The sequence below is a fragment of the Homo sapiens genome, chromosome 21 (genome assembly GCF_000001405.40).
Source record: "Homo sapiens chromosome 21, GRCh38.p14 Primary Assembly".
Lineage (NCBI taxonomy): Eukaryota > Metazoa > Chordata > Mammalia > Primates > Hominidae > Homo > Homo sapiens.
This window is the reverse complement of record NC_000021.9, coordinates 38498660-38519966: the sequence shown is the minus strand read 5'-3', so window position 1 is coordinate 38519966 and position 21307 is coordinate 38498660. Positions and strand designations below refer to the sequence as shown.

General features: G+C 38.8%; 1 protein-coding gene, 1 long non-coding RNA gene and 1 pseudogene across 10 annotated transcripts in view, besides 8 other annotated features; 1 reads left to right on the top strand and 2 right to left on the bottom strand.

Moving 5' to 3' along the window:
• LOC105372802 (uncharacterized) overlaps positions 1–16149 on the bottom strand; it is a 39782-nt gene extending 23633 nt beyond the window's left edge. For 2 of the 3 annotated variants that reach the window (XR_937712.3, XR_937711.3), the window contains exon 1: positions 15978–16149. This is a non-coding gene — a long non-coding RNA (uncharacterized LOC105372802). Of the gene's footprint in view, positions 1–10792; positions 11187–15977 lie in introns of those variants that run through there. The other variant, XR_007067864.1, reaches the window with a different exon arrangement.
• The window catches only part of ERG (ETS transcription factor ERG), a 294523-nt gene that overhangs the window by 141817 nt on the left and 131399 nt on the right, over positions 1–21307 (top strand). The gene's annotated exons all lie outside the window — the stretch shown is intronic.
• Positions 1–21307: part of a mitotic recombination region, noted in NCBI's record as "ERG recombination sub-region recombines with the TMPRSS2 recombination region. This represents the genomic range from 26 different ERG genomic breakpoints.", that runs on past both edges of the window. NCBI's record gives the evidence for it as "EXISTENCE:nucleotide sequencing assay evidence [ECO:0000219][PMID:23447416]".
• Positions 9269–9270: a mitotic recombination region, noted in NCBI's record as "case 24 ERG recombination sub-region, recombines with the case 24 TMPRSS2 recombination sub-region". NCBI's record gives the evidence for it as "EXISTENCE:nucleotide sequencing assay evidence [ECO:0000219][PMID:20601956]".
• Positions 9337–9499: a protein binding site, noted in NCBI's record as "region showing enrichment for dihydrotestosterone-dependent DNA topoisomerase II beta binding, near the case 24 TMPRSS2 recombination sub-region". NCBI's record gives the evidence for it as "EXISTENCE:chromatin immunoprecipitation evidence [ECO:0000226][PMID:20601956]".
• Positions 11247–11248: a mitotic recombination region, noted in NCBI's record as "case 16 ERG recombination sub-region, recombines with the case 16 TMPRSS2 recombination sub-region". NCBI's record gives the evidence for it as "EXISTENCE:nucleotide sequencing assay evidence [ECO:0000219][PMID:20601956, PMID:19363497]".
• Positions 11447–11448: a mitotic recombination region, noted in NCBI's record as "LuCap93 ERG recombination sub-region, recombines with the LuCap93 TMPRSS2 recombination sub-region". NCBI's record gives the evidence for it as "EXISTENCE:nucleotide sequencing assay evidence [ECO:0000219][PMID:20601956, PMID:19156837]".
• Positions 12390–12890: an enhancer, noted in NCBI's record as "NANOG-H3K4me1 hESC enhancer chr21:39879001-39879501 (GRCh37/hg19 assembly coordinates)". NCBI's record gives its function as "activates a minimal SCP1, AML or CMV promoter by ChIP-STARR-seq in naive H9 embryonic stem cells {active_cell/tissue: H9 hESC(naive)}" and the evidence as "EXISTENCE:reporter gene assay evidence [ECO:0000049][PMID:30033119]".
• Positions 12495–12496: a mitotic recombination region, noted in NCBI's record as "case 3 ERG recombination sub-region, recombines with the case 3 TMPRSS2 recombination sub-region". NCBI's record gives the evidence for it as "EXISTENCE:nucleotide sequencing assay evidence [ECO:0000219][PMID:20601956, PMID:19363497]".
• On the bottom strand, positions 17231–17609 carry SNRPGP13 (small nuclear ribonucleoprotein polypeptide G pseudogene 13; annotated as a pseudogene).
• Positions 17857–17858: a mitotic recombination region, noted in NCBI's record as "case 31 ERG recombination sub-region, recombines with the case 31 TMPRSS2 recombination sub-region". NCBI's record gives the evidence for it as "EXISTENCE:nucleotide sequencing assay evidence [ECO:0000219][PMID:20601956, PMID:19363497]".

The window sequence follows — 21307 nt, the reverse complement described above, 5'->3', positions numbered from 1 at the left end:
CAGTATTTTATACAAAATGCTTTCAGTGTCCAAGCTGAGTTTCCCTTGTTTGGAAGCATATCAGATGGCAAAGGGCTTCTCAACTGCATCTTTCTCCCTGCTTCTACATGTGTGGTTAGGGTCTCAGTCCTAATCTAGTTGTGCAGCCAGATATAGCATTTAACTGAGAGAATAATACTGCAGTGGACATTCTTGTAGGTGACTTCTGGTGCACATATACACACATCTCTATTGTACATGTATTAAATAGTGGAATTACACAGTCTTTGATGACAGTAGATGTGCCGACTTTCTTTGTTTACTTCTCTAATTCATTCTCCATCCTTCTCTGCTCCTCTTGTCCTGGGAGTTTGACTTCTGTCGACTACATCAAATGGGCTCCTTTGTCCTCTATCTTCTGTTGGGTTAAGCAAATGAGAGTCACCACAAGGAAGCCTGAGAGTAGGAGGAGAGAGCTTGGGGAGTTTTTTTCTCCAGCTTTCTCTCTTTGGTCATGGGTTGGCAGTGACTTTTTCCCTCCATGGAAGGCCACAGCTCCTATTGTTTATCCTCTCCTGTGTTCACAGCTACCGGTGCTGCGTGACTGCTACCTCCCTTGCCCTTGTAGGCCTGAGGGTAGTAATGGCTTCCTGTTCTTGCTAGCCTGGGGGACTTCCTCACCCTTTGGTTTTTACTAAATTCTACCTTTACCGTTGTAAATTCTTTCATTAAATTTTGTTCACTTACCTATTTGAATATGCTATATGCCTCTTATTACAGCCCTGATGGATAAATAAGGATGTTTTTTAAACTCCAGCTGTGTGTGAGAGTTCTTATTGCTCCACATCTTCACCAACATTGTTAGTCTTTGTTTTAGACATTCTGATGTATCTGTGGTGTTATTTCATTCAGGTTTTAATTTGTACTTCCTGCTTTACTAATGAAGTAGAAGACCTTTTAATGAGCAGTTGGATATCCTCTTTTATGACTGCCTGTGCAGTTTCTTCCCTGTTTTTCCTTGTGTGTATTCTGACTTGTGTGTATTCTTATTGATTGATGGGGGTTCTTTACATATTCTGGATATGAATAGTAGATTAGATGTGTTAAAGATATCATCTTCCACTCCATGCATTGCCTTTTGATTCTCTTAATAGTGTCTTTTGATGAAAATTTAAGTTCCTAATTTTTTTCTTATTTTAATGCAGTTCAATTTATTAGTCTTTCCTTTACTCTTAGTGTTTCTGTGCCTTGTTTTTAAAATCTTTCCCTTCCCAAGTCAGGAATATAGTTTTCTATATTATGTTCCAGAAACTTCATAGTTTTTGCTTGTCATATTTAGATTTATAGTTTATCTGACATCAATTTTTGTGATGTTATGAGTTACTTCTCAAGTTTCTGTTTCTCATGTGGATTTCTCATTTTCCAGCATCATTTACCAACAGTTTCTCCCTTTTTTAACTACTCTGCCCCTTTGTAAAAAAAAATCAACTGCCACCTTCGTCAAAAATCAAGTGTGTCCATATATGTGTGAATCTGTTTCTGAACTTTCCTTTCTTTTCCATTGTCTGATTTGTTTCTACCTGCATGAACACTATTCTGACCTAATTGCTGTGCCTTTATAAAAATGTTTAGTAGAGCAGGTTGTCCTACCTCACTCTTTTTTTTAAGATTTGCCTTTTAAAAATGGATACTATAAATAGATAGATAGATAGATAGATAGATAGATAGATAGATAGATAGATAGATAGATACACACACACACATAGTTATGGGGTACATGTGATAGTTTGTTACATGCATAGAATGTGTAATGATCAAGTCAGGGTTTTGGGGTGTCTGTCACCTTGGGTATTTCTCATTTCTATGTGTCAGGAACATTGCAAGTCCTCTTTTCTAGCTGATTTGAACTATACAATACATTTTTGTTAAGTATAGTCAGCTACTCTGCTATACAACATCAGAACTTATTCCTTCTATCTAACTGTATGTTTGTACCCATTATCCAAACTCTCTTCCTCTCCACTCCCACTCTCTGCTCAGCCTCTGGTAACCATCATTCCACTCTCTATCTCCATGACATTAACATTTTTAGCTCCCACATAGGAGTGAGAACATGTGGTATTTGTCCTTTGTGCTTGGCTTATTTTACTTGACATAATGACCTCCGGTTCCATCCATGTTGCTGCAAGTGACATGATTTCCTTATTTTTATGGCCAAATAGTATTCCATTGTGTATATGTACCACATTTTGTTTACCATTTCATCTGTGGATGGACATTTAGGTTGATTTCATGTCTTTGCTATGGTAAATAGTGCTGCGGTAAACATGTGGGTGCAAGTATCTTTTTGATATACTGATTTCTTTTTCATTAGATAAATACCCAGTAGTGAGATATCTGGATTATATTGAGTCTTATTTTTAGTTTTTTGAGAAATCTCTACTGTTTTCTATAGTGGCTGTACTAATTTACATTCCCACTCACAGTGTAGAAGAGTTCCCTTTTCTCTGCATTCTGGCCAGCATCTGTTATTTTTTGTCTTTTTAATAATTGCCATTCTAACTAAGGTATGATGATATCTCATTGTGGTTTTGATTTGCATTTCCCTGATGATTAGTGATATTGAGTATTTTTTTTCATATGCTTGATGGCCATTCCTGTGTCTTCTTTTGAGAAATGTCTATTGACGTTCTTTGCCCACTTTGTAAAAGTTTTCTTTTTAATTGTTGAGTTGTTTGAGTTTTGTGTATATTCTGGATTTTCTCTTACTAGATGAACAGTTTACAAATATTTTATCCCATTCAACAGGTTGTCTCTTCACTCTGCTGGTTGTTTTCTTTCCTTTGCTGTGCAGAAGTGTTTTAGTTTAATATAGTCTCATTTGTCTGTTTTCTCTTGCCTGTGCTTTTGAGGTCTTAGCCATCAAATCTTTGCTTAGATCAATGTCCTGAAATGTTTTCTCTATTTTCTTTTAATAGTTTTATAATTTGGGGTCTTAAGTTTAAGTCTTTCATCTACCTTGAGTTGATTTTTATATATGGCAAGAGATAGAGGTCCAGTTTTATTCTTTCGCATATGGATATCCAATTATTCCAGCACCATTTATTGAAGAGGGTGTCTTTTTCCCAATGTATGTTACTGATGCCTTTGTTGAAAGTCGGTTGGCTGTGAATATGTGGATTTATTTCTGGGTTATCAATTCTGTTCCATTGGTCTATGCGTCTGTTTTTATACTAGTATCATGCTCTTTTGGTTACTAGAGCCTTGTAATATATTTTGAAGTCAGGTTATGTGATGCTCCCAGTTTTGTTGTTTTTGTTCAGGGTTCCTTTAGCTATTCAGGCTCCTTTTTGCTTTCATATAAATTTTAGGATTGTTTTTTTCTATTCTTGTGAAAAATGACGTTAATATTTTAACAGGGATTGCATTGAATCTGTAGATTTATTTGGGTGGTGTGGTCATTTTAATGATATTAGTTCTTCTGATCCATGACCATGCAGTGTCTTTTCATTTGTTTGTGTCCTTTTCCATTTCTTTCATTAGTGTTTTGTAGTTTTTTTGTAGAGATTTTTCGCTTCCTTGGTTAATTTTTTTCCTAGATATTTTTTCCTTATACCTATTGTAAATGGGATTTTCTTCTTGATTTCTTTCTCAGCCAGTGCATTATTGGGTATATAAATGCTACTGATTTTTTTGTATCCTGCAACTTTACTGAATTTTTTAATTAAACCTAAGAGTTTTTTGGTGGAGTCTGTAGGTTTTTCTAGATGTAAGATCATGTCATCTCCAAAGAGGGACAATTTGACTTCTTTTCCAGTTTGGATGACCTTTATTGCTTTCTCTTGCCTGATTGCTCTGGCTAAGACTTCCAGTCCTATATTGAATAGAAGTGATAAAAATGAGAATCCTTGTCTTGTTCCAGTTCTTAGAGGAGAGACTTTCCGCCTTTCCCCGTTCAGTATAATGTTAGCTGTGGGTTAATCATGTATGGACTTTAATATATTGAGGTATGTTTCTTCTGTACCTAGTTTGTTGAGAGCTTTTACTATGAAACAATGTTAAGTTTTATCAGATGCCTTTTCTGCATTTATTGATATGATCATATGGTTTTTGTTTTTTTCTATTGATGTGATGTATCATATTTATTGATTTGTGTATGTTGAACCATCCTTGCATCTCTGGGATACATCCCACTTGACCATGGTGCATTATCTTTTTGATGTGCTGTTGGTTTCAGGCTACTAATATTTTGTTGATAGCTTTTGCTGAACAAAATACTAGAAAACTTATATTCACCAGAAATATTGGCCTGTATCCATGCTGAACTGAAGTGATGTTCATCAGGAATATCAGCCTGTAGTTTTCTTTTTTGTTGTGTTCTTGTCTGATTTTGTTATGAGGGTAATGTTGGCCTCATAGAATGAATTAGGAAGAATTCTCTCCTCTTTAATTTTTTGAAATGGCTTGGTGAGGATTGGTATTAGTTCTTCTTTCTAAGTTTGGTAGAATTAGTAGTGAAACCATCTGGTCCTTGACTTTTCTTTGTTGGGAGATTTTTTTTCCTATCCAATCTTATTACTTGTTATTGGTCTGTTTAAGTTTTCAGTTTCTTTCTGATTCAATCTTGGCAGGTTGTATGTGTTCAGAAATGTATCCATTTCCTCTAGGTTTTCCAGTTTGTAATAGTCTCTGATAATCTTTTGTATTTCTCACTCTTCTTTAAGAGCATCTTGTCTGTTTTTGACTCTGCATTTCCATACATATTTTAGAATCACTCAAGTTTCACAAAAACTTTGTTGAAATATTGAATGCATCTGCATTGAATCTATTGATCAATTTGAAGAAAATTCTACCTTTGATTATTAAGTTTTTCAATCCATGAATATATCTATCCATTTATTTTGGTCTTCTTTTAATAATATTTTGTAGTTTTTGGTGTAGAGGTTCTGCACGTATTATGTTAGATTTATGTCCATATTGTAAGGTATTTTTAATGCTAATGAAAACAGTATCACTTAAAAATTTTGATTTCTATTGATGTTTATGCTGATATATAAAACTAAAATTCTATATTGACCTTGTATCTAGCAAACTTTTAAAACTCATTTATTAATTCTAATGACTTATTTCCAAATTCTCTTGGAAATTCTGTGTAAAAAAATGATGTCATCTGTAAATAAAGTTTTATTTACTTTTTCCCAATCCTTTAACATTGCATTTCATTTCCTTGCCTTCTTTACTAACTAAGACTGCCAATTCAATTTCAGACAAATGCGGTAATATGTGGGGCTTCTTTGTCTTTTCCCCCAACTTCAAATGATTAAATTTTAAAGTTTTGACATGAAAATGTGTGGTTTACTGTAGGTTTCGGTAGATTCCTTTTATCAATTTGTAGGATTTATAAACTTCCTCTTTATTTCTAATTTACTAAGAATTTTTAATATGAATGTTGAATGTTATTAAGTGCTTTTCTTCTTTTGTTTAAAGTTATATAAATTTTCTTTACAATGTAAATTTGATTATTTGATTGAAACAAGCTTTCATTCTTAAAATAAATCCAGTTTGTTCACAATATATATTATTGTCGTATATACTGTTGGGTTTTGTTTTCTAGAATTTTATTTAGGATTTTGCATCTATGTTTATGTATGAAATTGACCCATAATTTTCCTTTTTAAATAATTTTCTAGCTACATTTTGGTATCAAGCTTTCTTTTCTTTTATCTGAAAAGCTTATGTAAGAGTGGCATCCTTTTTTTTTTAAATGCATGTTAGAATTTGCTGATAAATCCGTCTGGCCTGGAACTTTCTTTCTTTTTTTTATTTTTTTATTTTTGGAGTTGTCCTTTAAGAGGTCTGAGATTTTTCAATCAATGTCTTTAATAATTATAGGAGTTCAGGTTTTGTGTTTTTTCTTTTGACAGTTTTGGTAAATTATATTTTCCAATTATGTATTTCAACTAATTTTTCACATTTATTGATAGGAAATTGATCATAATATTCTATTATCCTTCCAATGTCTACAGCATCTGTAGTAATAGCCCCCTTTTTATTGTTGACTTTGGTTATTTTAACCTTCCCTCTTTTCTCTCTGTAATCACCAGTGACTTACACATAACTAATCTTTTCAGAGAACCAGATTTGGTTTTGTTTATCTTCTCTACCATATTATTTACAATTTTCTCAATTTTGTTCTCATTTGTTATTTTTCTTCTTCTTTCTTTGGGTTTTTCTAACTTTTTGAGATTGATGCCTTTGCCTCTTTCCTATGGAAGCTCACCCACAGAAACAGTAACATTATTATGTGCTCCACTTCATATTTACTCTTCTGTTTTATTTGCAGAACCAAGCCTTGTTCAAGTTAGTATTAAAATATAAATGACTCCCACAGCCATCTCTTTATGCAGTGCCATAAAATGTGCTCTAATCAGAAGGATTTTATATTACGTGTTTTTAATTATTCTTGTGAATCCTCAATGCCCAAAATGAATTGGCAACAAATATTTGTCTGTAGATGTCAAGATATTTCCTCATACTGATATACTTCTCAGCATAACCTCCCATTTAGTTTCTTTGCTCCTTGCTCCTTTCATGCTGAAACAAATCCTTTACCCAATTTCCCCTACAATCTGAATATTCCCTGTTTTTGGGGAACTCAACTCAAATTTCTTTTGTCCTAGTTTCTTTTTTTTTAACAAGTTTCACTTGTTATCTTACTAACAGTGTATTTAATAAAGTCGATGCTCAATAAATACTCTTGTCTCAATGAATAAGCTTCAACCTCTTTGTAGCTATATTAATATATTTATGTATTCTATAAAGTCTAATTGGTAGCCTATTATTATTATTTTTTTTTTTGAGACGGAGTCTTACTCTGTTGTCAGGCTCGAGTGCAGTGGCATGATCTTGGCTCACGGCACCCTCCGACTCCCTGGTTCAAGCGATTCTCCTGCCTCAGCCTCCTGAGTAGCTGGGATTACAGGCACACGCCACCATGCCCAGCTAATTTTTGTATTTTTAGTAGAGACAGGGTTTCACCATGTTGCCCAGGGTGGTCTCAATCTCCTGACCTCATGATCCGCCTGCCTCGGCCTCCCAAAGTGCTGGGATTACAGGCGTGAGCCACTGCGCCTGGCCCGTAGGTTTTAATTAATATATTTAAATTTTCTTGGCATTTCAGTATTTCTATATTATAATGTGAATTATTTTAAAATACTTTATCTGATTACAAAGGTAGCACACACTTGTTTTATCCTAAATTTTCTCAACTGTTTGACTTGAAAAGGGGGCAGTTACTCCATGATCCAAACCTCAAAACTGAAATTTGTATTTTAAGATGTTTTCTCTGCATATGCTAATATACATATGTGATAATTTTCTAAAACTTATTATACTTTGAATATTTTCTATGCAGTACATTAATATCTATCTCATTCTTAATACTGTGTAGTATAATTATTCAATATCTGATTGAAAGACGTACAGTGTATTTTCATATTTTACTGTTACTGAGCAGTGTAATAGCAGACATCCTTTGTACTTATAACTGTCTATTGTGAGTATTTCTAAAAAATAGATTTCTAGAATATCAATTGCGGAGACAAAGGATAAATTATTTTATTCCCATTATACACGAATGTCAATGCTTTTTCCTCCACATTCTTGCCAATACTTCAAAATATTACATTTTTTCATTGTTGTTATCTGGCTAGGCCCAAATATTGTGTGGTGGTTTATTTATTTTTATTTTCTTTAATCTGTTTTCACTTTTCTTGGATGGTTTACACTTATGGATAGTAAACTCCTGTGATGGTGACTCGTGGTCATCCAGGTTCTTTTGCATTGTGTGGGTTAGGATGGGCAGGACACACTCTTGTATATGTACCAGCTGTTGGTTTATGTGATTTTTTCAGGTCAATCTATCCCATCTGACAATATACCTTCCATTAGGCTGACAGTCTGTCATGCACACAGTGCACACACACAATTATATTACAAGGCTGATAAAACCGAATTGCTCTGTTCCAGTGGTTCTCAACTGGGACAGTTTTTGGTTGCACCTTTAGGGACAGTTGGCCATGTCTAAAGACAGTTTTGGTTGTCATAATTGGAGTCTGCGAGGTGTTACTGGCATCTAGTGGGTAGAGGCCAGGAATGCTAGCAAACATCCTGCCATGCACAGGGCAGCCCCCACAACAGATAATTAACCAACCCAAAATGTTGATGCTGCCAAGGTTGAGAAACCCTGTGGTCTATTGCTGTGACATTTTAGTGCTTCTGTTGTATCACAAGTGTACCAATTTGTGTTAATTTTAACACATTTATTCTTGCTTAAAAATTGGGATGTATCTTAAAATTGATTGATTAGAAAGTATTACGGTGAATTTTCATTGGCAGAATTGTTTTTTCTTTCCTAGTGATACTTTAAATCATGATGTGCTTTACATCTTACCACCCAAAGTCTTAGATTTGAGGAAATATGATATGATTGTGTCTTATCTTTTATCCCTACATATGTGCAGTCTAATTTCAGTGTAGGAATAGGAAGTCTCGTGTAGCATGACAGTGTAATTGCTGTATTTGTAGGTATTAAACATCAATCAATGCCTAGCTTTGTACCCATAGGCATTCCACTTTGTGCCTGCTCTAAGGCAAAACACAATATTCAATGCTGGAAATAATTTCATATTTAGTTTTATGTTAAAGTAGTTCCTCTTAGATTTAGTAAATAGACAAAATATTGATTGAATGTTCAAATGTAGGGTGGAATGATTGATTTATTCATTTGGGAGGTTGTGAATCATTCCTATATCTATTGATTTTGTTCTTCATTTATATTCATTACCTTTAAATTCAGGAAGGTTATTGAAAATTCAGGGGGAAACATTTGTTAGGTTGCTAACTCCTTCACACTAAACCTTCTATGTTTTCTTACATTTACAAGCAGTCTAATAATCCAGTGAATCCCTTACATACTGAATGTTGGGAAAAGGTCATGACAGGAATATCTAGTTTTCAAATCTTGGTTTGTTAAAGATCAGAAATCTTCCTTCCAGATCTTGGTTTGTTAAAGGTGATGATCACCTAAACTAAAGCATACTCAGATGATGGCTGCTTGATATAATGGAGTGAGCTTTTATTCCTGGCTCTTATAGGAGAAAATCTGTAAGTGGTCAGGGGAAAATCGATTTCAATGTGTACTGTCAATTCCTTTTTTTGCATTTGTAAGTGAGAAAAAAATTAGGTGGTTAAAAGGTGGCAGTTTTGAGTTATTAAGAATGATATGGATTAGCCTCAACTTCCATGGGTCACTACGAGGTAGCCGCTGATACTTCACATCTGGTTTTGGTTTGCAGTAACTGACAAAGAAGCACAAGGTATGTATAGCCCTATTGTTAGTGTCGTTCCACTCTTTTAAAGACAAAAAGCTCCCCACTCCAAAAGTACTGAAATATTTTCAACTCCAATTTACAGATTAGGCAAAACCTCTTGAGTTAAGGGTCACTAAAGGCAGCTGAAAAATTTCTTTGCAAACTTCTCAGTGTTCTGGCTGTTAAAGAAAAATAGTAAAATAAAAAGAGCTCCCCAGTGTAAGAATTCCATGAAACAGAGAGTGACGTGTGAGACGCATTAATGCTTTCCATTCCTGATGAAAAGCTCGAACAGCTTTAAGTAATGTGGAATCCAGTATCTCAAATCCTAGCTCCGTCTGGGAGGTGAGTTTTGGGTGTCCTAGCTCCCTGGGATTGGAAGAGCAACACGTTGTCTATAGGCATTCCATATGTGAGTTTAATTATGATAACTTGACTTCTTTAAAGAAGCTTTTTAGATGTTTGGGGAGAATCCCACTCAGGACTGTGGTTTTTCTTTCTCCTGCTTTCTTTGGGGAAGGAGCACACAGGACCATGGTTCCCAGAAACGGAGACACACTCTGTGAACCTGTGCACGTCCCTGTGCCCACAGCGAAGGCCCCTCCAGTGATCAGCCAGGCCCACCATTGCAGCCTTCCAGATGGCTCTCATTAGAGTCAAAATTGACTGAGGGAAGCCCCTGGGGCGTCCTGGAAGCCTTAGAGACCATGCTAGGGACAGAGCCTCTGATTTCTAGGAGCTAATGTTTCAGAGAAAATAATAACAGCACCTTCTAAACACTAGAGCTTTTCTCTTTAGTAACTCAAGGTAATGAATCCCCACCCTCTCCCTCTGCTTCTCATTTACCACCCCTATTTCTCTGCAAGTCACAAAGGGGAAAATTGAAGTTTTCTCACATCTCCTTGGGAAAGTAATCTGAGGTTGATGGGCTGAGATGTTTCCAGAGAATGGGAATGGGGTGCCAACAGCATGGAGGAGCCTGGGGAGCTGCTGGTATCAGGCATAGAGTGAAGACCAAAGTTAGGGATGGGAGAGGAGGGTATCTACTCTCATGGGGCAAAGTGACCCTGAGGCACCTCTACATTTAATGAGCCTAGAAAGAAAAAGGGTGGAAAAGAATAGGAAGGAACTGTTGATGTTCCCTTCTTATGTCCTTTCTGTTGGGTCAAAATACTGTTGTAATTTTGGCATATTTTTCTCTCTATCCAATATGCAAGTTGTTTGTTTGGCTGAATACTGCTTCACTTCTTTTCTGCACCTCCAGTGACCGACAATGCTTAGCACATAGGCAATGCCAATCAAGATTGATGAATGGATGAATGATCATACAGAAGGAATATTTTCTGCTGTAGCAACGTTGCAAAAGTTTCTTCTTAAGGAATCTTCTGATGGTATGCCGATGCCCGGTTGCTATATAACAACTCACTGCAGGACTCAGTGGCTTAAAATCACAATGATCACTTTATTATTTAGAATCTCTCATGGTTCCAGGGCTTGATTGGGCTGAGATAGATATTATTTGCTTGGAGTCTCTTATAGGTTTGCAGTCAAGTGCCGGTTGGGGCTGGAGTGATCTTGGTTTCTTCATTTATACCTCTGGGGGTTAATGCTGGCTGTGGGCTGGGACTGATGACTGGAACACCTACAAATGGCCTCGTCACATGGCTTGGGCTTTCTCCCCGTATGGTGGCTGAGGTTTAAGAGTGGCTGTTCCCAAGAAAATCAGGTGGAAGCTCTATCACCTTTCCAAGGTAGCCTTGGAAGCCACATAGCTGAACTTCTGCTGTAGTCACAGCCCAACTCAGATTCAAGGAGTGGGAACGTGGACCTCACTTTCTGATGGAAGCAAAGTCAATGTCACTTTATAGAAGGTTATGCATGATGGGACATCCTACTGGGCCATCTTGGGAAATACAGTTGCCATGGTGGTATGGCAAATGTCTAGAAATGCAATCAATATACCATTCTAATGGTTTCTGATAAGTACGTGTGAAACCAACCCAGTTGCCTAAATAGTTTGGCTGGAAATAATTTTAATCAGAGTTACTTTGGAAAATTACAAGGACTAAGTTGTATACAAATGGGAGCTCTTATTTTATATTGAAATCCAGATAAATCTGCTGTAAAATAATCATGATGCCAGCAAAATAGAGGATGTATACTCATCCACTCATCCACTCATTCATTCATTCGTTCTTACAGCCGGTATTTTTTTTTTATTGACTATCCACTTGCTTACAGGTACTATTAGCTCAATTATTGAGACGGAAATCCCATAAGATACAGATTTGGGAGGCTTCTTAGAGAAAATTTACCTTCCTCACTGCCCAATGACTCAATCTAAGAAGACAGCTTAAAAAAGCCACTTCCACAGCTCACAGGGCCTGCAGCTAGACTTGGGAGAGAGGTGGTGACAGTGGGGAGAAGAGGGGTGGGGAGCAGATGACCTCCTGCTCTGTCTCTCTCTCTCATCTGTTCATAGATATCGATACCATCCATTGTGTGTCTGTGTTTGCCTGTGTGTCTGTGTGTATATATGTGTGTGCATGTGTGTATATGTGTGTTTATATGTGTCTGTCTTTGTGTGCATGTGTGTTTGTGTGTCTCTGTGTGTGTGCATGTGTGTGTGTCTGTGTGTCTCTGTGTGTGTGCATGTGCGTGTGTGTGAGAGAGAGTGATGGGGGAGCCACTGGTTCCTCACAACTTAAGTCCCAGCTGTCATCTTAACTTTGTGGATGGTCAGCAGGCAGTTTAAAAACAAATGAAGGCACTGATGCTGGGCACGTTCTGTTCAGAACTGAGGGACTGGCTGGTGCTTTGGCCACAGCTGGGCCTGGCCACATTCCTAAAGAGGAGCCACAGCTGGCTGGACTGAATGAAACTGGCTGGGCCTGTCCCAGTTCCCTCCTGTCAACTGCTGTTGAGAGAACCTCACCCATCCCAGGGGAGTCCCAAGTTCAAGTCGAACTCTGGGCTCTTGAAGGGCTCTCCTGGACTAGCCACTGACACAGCCAGTATTGCTCTCCCCTGATACTCCTGGGCTCTGTGGCCGGCTTCATTCATTCATTCATTCATTCATTCACTCATTCAGTAAGTGCTTGTTGAGGGCCATCACTGACACAGTCATGAGGGAATCCTGGGGTTCCCCTCCCAGTGTCAGCACTGGGGCTCCGGGAAGATGGCTGCCTTCCATCTCCAATGCATTTTAATTTCTTCTTTGAACAAACCTGCAAAGTTACTGGTTGATTGAAAAAGGAATATTGGCACAAATGAATTAAATGACGCATCGGGGTCACCGAGCAGTTGGGGATGAAGCCAAGGTCCCTGTTATCAGGATGCTGCATGGACTCTTCCCTTCGGAGAAATATCACGAAGGCTCCCCGCCTCCAGCGCGCGCCAGTGGACCCCTCCTGTGAAGCAGAGGTTAGCCCTGCACTCAGGGTCCTCAGTTCCTACCTAAGCCAGCTCATCATTAGCAATTCGTATTGTGCATGCTGGCAATGCAGAGCCCAGGGGCGCTTTTTGTCGAGCCAGCGTCTTTTATCTGCAGTTGCACCCCAGCGAAGCTGGGACCGGAATGTACGACTGTTACAGGGTCCGGGCCTCCTCCCATCTAGTTTGCAATGCCTCTCACATGCAAAGGTTATGTTTGTTTCCTTTTAAAAATAGCAGACGAGCAGGTGACACACTGCCTTAATTATCCTTCTGTAGAACACATTGAAAACTAGCCTCCCTGTTCTACTGGCAGAGCGAGAGGAAAATGTATCCTAAACCGCAGTGGGTGAAGCCTCTTCAGATGTCGGTCAGAGCCTTACCCACACCCAGCCCCGCCCGACAGCCGTGAACACAGACAAACAACTGTCACCCATTGACCTCACGATTCCTTGGTATATGAACCAAAGTGGAAGCGGCGAGAAAAGGAAATACTGCAGATATTTTTAAGTAGAAGCAAAGGCAGGAAGAGGAAAGTTGCAAAATTGGTTATATTTCTTTTTGCTTAAGTGCATAATGTTTGGATGACCAAAAAGTCAGTGTAAATGTATAATAAGATTATTTTCAAGGAAATCTGTATATTAAGTTTTAAGGCCTATTTTACTTCATATATACATAAAGTACCATTTTTAGAAGTGCTATACTCCATGCATATTCCAAAATACTACACGTTTTTTTTGAGAAAGGAAGGGACCGTGAGGCTTTTTTCACATCTGATATATTACAGTATAATCCATATTCCTCCTATAACACTTAGTTCTGGAAAAGGATCTACTGGTGTCTGAGTTTAGGCAGGCACTAGCACTGACGTCAGTATTGTGTACAGAGAAAACAAACATACTCTACATTTACCGAATTTGATGCAACTCACATTTGGGAACATATTGAACAATCTAAAATTATTGTAAAGTGGTAAATTTTTCAGGCTTTAAAATCATTAACAGTGGCATAAAACAATTATACAATTTCCATGGACAAATCTCACCCCCCCAGATTTATGCCTTTAATCTTATATTCAGATCTGTGTAATTCATGTTTGCTCCTAAAACGTGTATTTCTTTATGTTCTATAATAATGAACAATCCAAATTTTTCAAAAAAAAACACCATTTCTGCATTATAAATGTTAGATCTTAATTTTAACAAGTAAAAAATGAGACCACTTTGTAAAATAATGTCAATTCAAGGAATTTAAATCAAGAATTAGGCACACTAGTATTCTCTCTAAAGGCCTTTTTGAGGGGCATTTAGCACCCTCTAGTGACAACAATTCAAGCCGTTCAAAGGGAACTTCCCTGCACGACTCATGTCTGGTTTCTAGCTGGCAAGTCAACAATGCAGTGTAGTTCTTTAGGCAGGAGGTGGTTGCTTCCTAAAATCCTTGAGGCAGGATTATTTTTGTAGCTGTAAATAAAGGCTGGAATAATCTCCACCAGGCAACCGCGCAGTGGGAAAACCATGATTTATCCCTATCGGCTATAATATTCTTTGGCTTATCATGGCCAGTCCACTCAGAAAGAACATTTCTAGTACTCCTTGAACACTGCAGCCTTTCCCAAAACATGTGCTGAGATCTGTGTGGGCATCAGATGACAACAACAAATTTACTGATATCATCATTTCAGTTCAGGTCGGTGCATTTAACGGGATTTAACACATTTTCATAAGAGTGAATTGGAAAAGAACTGGCCTGCCTTCACTTCAGCTGCACCTCTGTGTCCTCTGCGTTGCTTGCAGTGGGAGATAATACAGTGTGGAGAGGGTGAGGTGTGGAGAGGGGGCGAGGGATGAGGAGGGCTCAGGTGGAGAGGATACCATGTGGAGCGTACCATGTAGCAGTTACTGCGCTGAGACAGACTCCCAGTGTCCTGTGCTCCTGACTTCAGGCACGGGTATAGGGCTTCATTGCATCCGCAGGTAGCCTGGTGATACTCATGCAAATATAAATGAATTTGTGGCAAAGATTTTTTGCCTTCGCTTCATTTCTGATTCCATTTGTGATGGAAATAAATTAGTAAATAAATCATCAAATGAGGTGATGCTGAATTAAAGCCCACCTCAACCGAAAACTAAAAGCCAACTTTAGAAAGCAGCAGGAAAAATTATTAATGCAGGCTTCTACATCAATTTCTATCAATTGAATGCTATTATAGTGCCACTTATGATCTTTCTTTAAGAAGTAATCTGTATTTTCTTTAAAAATAATTCATAAAATAGTGACAGATTAAGACAAAAATAAGTGATGCTGTTTAGTATCTTATAGGTGAGATTGACACACTTCTTAAAAAATCATTTAAAACTCTGACTAGAATCAAAATCAAAATTAATTTCAACAACCTGGGATAAATTCTCAATTTGGCCAAGGATGGTGACAGGGGACAGTACCTGGGAAAGGATACTTTGGATCTGAGTCGGGGGTAGAGTGGGATGCCAGTCAGATGCTTTTGTGAATCTTAATTATATGCCCTGTGGGCATACGAAGCCTTATGGGCACCAATGGCAACGTGATGTCTGTAGCATCTATGCTCAGATATACCCAGTTATACGGACAAAGAAGTTGAAACTCATTTAATGGTTTCCAAATTATATGGAGAAGCCTAATAATTGGAACAATACATTTAAAAGTTATTTTAAGCTAAATAATGGTGACAAAATAATTACTCTCCTCTTAGGTTTCTTTCTTAAAACCACAGATAATACATTGACCTATTTGGAGTCCTTGATAATGGTTTTAATATTCCTGCATTTTTAAAGTCATATGGAGTTGAGTAAGAGCAAAATTGGCCTAAACTTGAGAACGTGTGGGATGCTTATGAAATTGTGTTTATTGAAATCATTGCTCCATGGGAGCTTATAGAACTGAACTGACGTGTGCTTCAGTATTAAGGAAATTGCAACTTGGTGTTGAGAAGTTGAGGATTTGGTATGTGATAACAGTTTCCTTGGTTTCTATTAGTTCAGATCAACCAAGAGACTGAAGAATACATTCACCACTTAGAGAAAGTGTTGAAACAATGGTTATTTAAATTGTAATTGGATTATTTCTTAATGTGCTGCTGGGGGATATGGCACTCCCCTACCCCCCCACACACACACCCTCATACACACACTCACACACTCATACACACATACTCACATAGTTGTATCCAATGGAGTGAAGCTGTAATCATGAAGTATGCTGTGAACAGAAAAACCGTCCTTAAACAGCGCTGACTGGGTGCCCTTGAGGGCTGAGAGTGTCTTCATGCCGCGTATGTTCTCAGGCAAATCCTCCGACTGCTGCAGATGGAAAAGTTCCATGGAGTGCTGGAGTTTTCCATTGTGCGGCAGCCCCAGATGCTTGATTCTTATCTACAATCTCAGGCATGTTCCTGGCAAAAACCCCTGGGACATCGTTCTTGCGGGGCTCTCATGAATAATCCAAACACTATGCATTTTAAATTCATGTGTCATCTTAAGGACAATATACAGCACTTTTGTCCTATTGTTTTGTCCTTAAAAACCTGCGTTTCATGGGTCGCTCCCAGGCTCTGAAGTTTTATGTGTGCAGAATTTGAGGAGACTGAGATAGGCTTCCCGAATGCCGAGACATGCGGTGACTGGATAGAGCCCTGTAATCCTGGCTTCCTGAGTGCCCACTGGAGTTCCTGGCAGGAAAAGGCCATTAATATCACCTGAATGGATTAATGCCGCATAGATGGCCTCCACGAAACTCTTGAGCGTTTCTGGGTTTTCTTAATAAAATGAAAAAAAAAAAGAGCTCTATGCTTGCTGTAGACATTTAAAAAAGAACAGGCATTTGGGCATGCTAAAAGGTTTGACACCTACAAGTATTGTGGGCTGCACTTTTTACAGAACATGCCTGTATTTTTCAGATATTTACAAAAATGAACAACATTGCATGTTACTTACATATTTTTATATTAGGATATAATTTATGTTTATTACAAATTTATGTTTTGAAAATATAAGTGAACCAAAGAAGAAGAGGGGAAAAAACAAAAAGCTTCTCTGCCATTGGTATTATAAGATATAGCTGTCAATATTTTTACTTTGCCTTTTTATTTATTTTTTATTTTTTGACTATTACAAAAGGTTATTGGCCGGGCGTGGTGGCTCACGCCTGTAATCCCAGCACTTTGGGAGGCTGAGGCGAGTGGATCACAAGGTCAAGAGATCGAGACCATCCTGGCCAACATGGTGAAAACCTGTCTCTACTAAAAATACAAAAAATTAGCCAGGGTGGTGGCGGGCACCTGTAGTCCCAGCTACTCAGGAGGCTGAGGCAGGAGAATGGCATGAGCCCAGGAGGCGGAGCTTGCAGTGAGCTGAGATCACGCCACTGCACTCCAGCCTGGGCGACAGAGTGAGACTCAAAAAAAAAAAAAAAAAAGGTTATTTAACAAAAAGTCTAATATGAAAACATACATGACCTAATTTTTACATATAGTGAAACAGGCCCTTTGGAGAGGGGACATGGGTTTTTCTGTTGAACAGCCATTATTTATACTCATTCCAAAGTTTCTAATATGATGATACTATTTCCTTGTATTACCACCGTTCCAATACTGTTCTGCTGCCAACTAGTTGACATCTCCACACATTCATCTATGACAAGATTCATAAAGGGATCGAGTCCCCATAATATTCCTTGGACATGTCTGCCACCATTGCATTTCATTTTTCAACTCGGGAAGGTTAGCTTCGCTCATGGTGTCTATTCCTCAGGTTCACAGATGCTTTGGAACAGAATGCACGGCCATCCCCAACTGCCTTTTTATTTTTAACAAAATGAGTCTATGGATATAATTCTCCTATATACTGTGATTTTTTAACTAACCAGGTAAAATATCAGAGCAGTTTTCCATATTGCTAAGTGTTCATCTACGACATCATTTTCCTGCAATGTTTTTGAGGAGGAAGGGCGTTCCATTGTAGGGATGTATAGGGCAGGGATAAAGACGTGAATGAGTCATGAGTGAATCTTCTGTTGTGTCCCCACAGATGTGGAGGTTCAGACGGATCTCCTCTCTTTGCTCTGCGCATGTATTACATTGAGAACCATGTGGCTGTCATTCAGAGTGTTCTTAGCTCCTAACCTTCCTCCCCATATTCCATACAGAGAAGTTAGTAAGGGAACAAGAATGAGAACTTGTTCGATCTTTAGAAAATGGGAAGAAATGATTTTAGGATAAATAAATACTAGTGTTTCTTTTATTGTGACAGTGAATTTATGGTATATTTATGTTATATTATTTTGTTTCTTTCTTTGGAGTAAAATGTGAGGAGACTAGTGGAAGGTTTTGGCAGATTCACAGGGGATGGGTTTGTGGCAGAGAAGCATGCAAGGGAAATGTGTGCTTTATTCATAGGTTCTGCTGTCCACAGCTACTGTATGGGCTGTGCTGGTCTAGTGTGGTGATTACTGCATCTCAAGGAGAGTGAAAAAGGACCCTGCCCTGATAGGCTCATGGCAGGACGGGCCTCAGGTAGGGGCCGTGTGCCAGATTGCCCCCTAACTTGGTCCGCGTGGTGGCTTGGAGGGCATATTTCCCTAGGGAGAGGAGGTATCAGGTGGGAAAGGCAGCCTGGTTCTTAGGCTGCTGGGTGGTGTAGGGATGAGGCCATTTAATAACATAGACTTGGGGTACAAGTGAGGAAAGCTAGAGTGATATCTATATCTTCAGATAATTTCCCCATAGGATAATATTTGGGAAACGGTTTCTGCACTGCTATATTCTAGTTAATAGATGTGCCTTGGCCGGGCGTGGTGGTTCACGTCTTTAATCCCAGCACTTTGGGAGGCTGAGGCGGGTGGATCATGAAGTCAGGAGATCGAGACCATCCTGGCTAATATGGTGAAACCCCGTCTCTACTAAAAATACAAAAAAAATTAGCCAGGTGTGGTGGCGGGCGCCTGCAGTCCCAGCTACTCGGGAGGCTGAGGCAGGAGAATGGCGTGAAGCTGGGAGGCGGAGCTTGCAGTGAGCCGAGATCGCGCCACTGCACTCCAGCCTGGGCGACAGCAAGATTCCGTCCCAAAAAAAAAAAAAAAAAAAAAAAAGATGTGCCTTGTCCTATCAAGAGCCAAAGATTTTTTTAAAACACTTTACATTAAATAGTCAGAGATTACCAGGCTTGGATGCTATGATGCCATTTGAAACATCAAGAATTATTCTCTTTGAAGACAACAGGAATCAATCAAACATTTTGTCATTAGAAATGAGGAGGAGTTTCCTTTGTAAAATTTTGGAACAGAATTTACCACTCAGTATCCCCAAATTAACTTTTTATTAGATCACTTTTTATGTTTGTATGCATTTCCAAAATTAGACGCAGTAAAACTTATGGATCGAATATTGATCAAATAATAGCATCTGTTTTTCTCTTTTTTAGTATCCAATAAATAAATTTGTCTCTTATAAAACAATATTTTTATTAGTTAGAAAATGATGGATATATGCATGCATGTATGTTATACATAAATAAATATGGGAGAGAGAGACAGAGATTGAGAGAGAGAGAGCATGTGTGAGAGAAAGCAGAGAAAATGATGTACATTGGCACCAGTAGACAATCAGAGTTAACCAGGCAAAGGGTATTAGGAGTTTGGTGTATTATCTTGTGGCTTTTCTGTAAGTTGGAAATTATTTCAAAATAGAGAGGTAAGAAATCCCACTCTTCACAGTTTGATTTGCATTAGGCAAGAACCAGGGAGTTAAGGCCAAATCATCACTGAAGCATTAGGTCCCAGTAGAAATGCTGATCTTTCCTGCTGCAGGGAACAACTGAGGGCTGGATTAGCAACCACGAGGCGTGGGTGAGGCGGGACCACACAGGATTTTCTTCCGTGGCTATTTCATTAGCAAAGCGTTCATCTTATTTAAAGCTGGTGTTTGGTAAAGGCATAATCAGGTGCCATGTGTTGTGGAGGCCACAGTTAACATTTTACATTGATGCTTCTTAGGAGAGAACAAAAAGCAAGGACACTCAGGGAAGCTGAGAGAGCTTTTCTCCTCCGCACTCCAGAATTCTAGTGGAAGCTGCCCAGATAAAACAGCTCAGGACTTTGAAATTTTCGGGGAAACAGAATTTTAATCAGCCTGCCATCTTATTCATTGTTCAGAGATGAAAAGAGCGGAAATCAACACCCCCTCATAATGTAGGTGCTGAGAACTTAGGTTCTGATTTCCACAGAATGATTTTCTTACAATATACTCTCTTTCTTTTCTTTTCCTTCTTTCTTTCCCTCCCTCCCTCCCTTTCTCCTTCCTTCCTCCCTCCTTCCTCCCATCCTCCTTCCTTTCTCTCTCTCTTCTGTCCTTCCTTTCTCCTTCTCCATTTTTTCTCGCCCTCTTCCCTCCCTCCTCCTCCTCCTCTCCTTCCTCTCCCTTTCCCCCCTTATCTTTCTCCTTCTCCTCCTTCTTTTGTCCTAACATGAGGTGATAAATCAGAGGTATATAATAAAAGCCAGAATGACCTGGGCTGGTGGACAGAACTCTGACACATGCCGGCCTAAAGTCTGAGTGAAATCCATTTACTGAACGTCCAGCTCTGCAACCAGGAATTGTCAGATGACTCAGGATTTAGTCTATTGTGTTCTTGGGGTCGCCTATTGAGACCACACCTCTTTATGGGTCCTGCGTTCCTGTAGCTAGATTCAAAGCAAAATGTTTCTTCCAAGCAATTTCCTGAAAATGAGTAATTAAAGTCCTGAAACCCTCTAAGGAATGTTCAGGCCTGCATTCGCTGTACTTCCTTCGAGGAGAAAACAGACCTGTGACCCTGAACTTATAGCTTGGATTTTAGACATGTAATGGGGCCCTCACATGGCATCTCTGGGTAGCCAAAAGTTCTATGAGGATCTGTTGTCTGCAACATGGATGTCTGTCAGAGTGAGACCAGCTCACTGATATTCCGGGACATTTGTAGTCACTTCAGTTATTTGGGTTTTAATAAATACTTGAAAACAAGACTTAGGAAGGTTTATTTTTCCTCTTTATTTTTTGTGTTTACTGTAAGCCTAGAGTCCTTGCGTTTTCAACAACTTTGTTGTAGAGCAAATAAAAAGTGCAGGTATTTGGAAGGAGAAAATGAAACTGTTCTGGAACACTTATATGAAATGTTGAATAAATATAGGTTGTTAAAAATCAGCCAGGCAATGGCTGTTACTGAACATGGCCATCTATTAACATGAAATAAACTCCACCTGCAAAGTTTCCTTTTAGGAGAAAGGAGCTCAAGTCCTCTGTCCTAGTAATTCTGCGAAGAATTGGGCTGCGAAGGGCTGACACCCAGGGCAGTGGGGTGCCCTCAACGCCTTGGCTCCAAGGTGCTTGCAGCCCGTGTGAAGCCATGCGGAGTCCCATCACATCTGCATCCTGCCTTGGTCTCAGTGCAGTGTGTCACACGGCGGCACACCGGTCACACCTGCTGTGGCAGTCCCCATCCCAATTGATGCCTTTT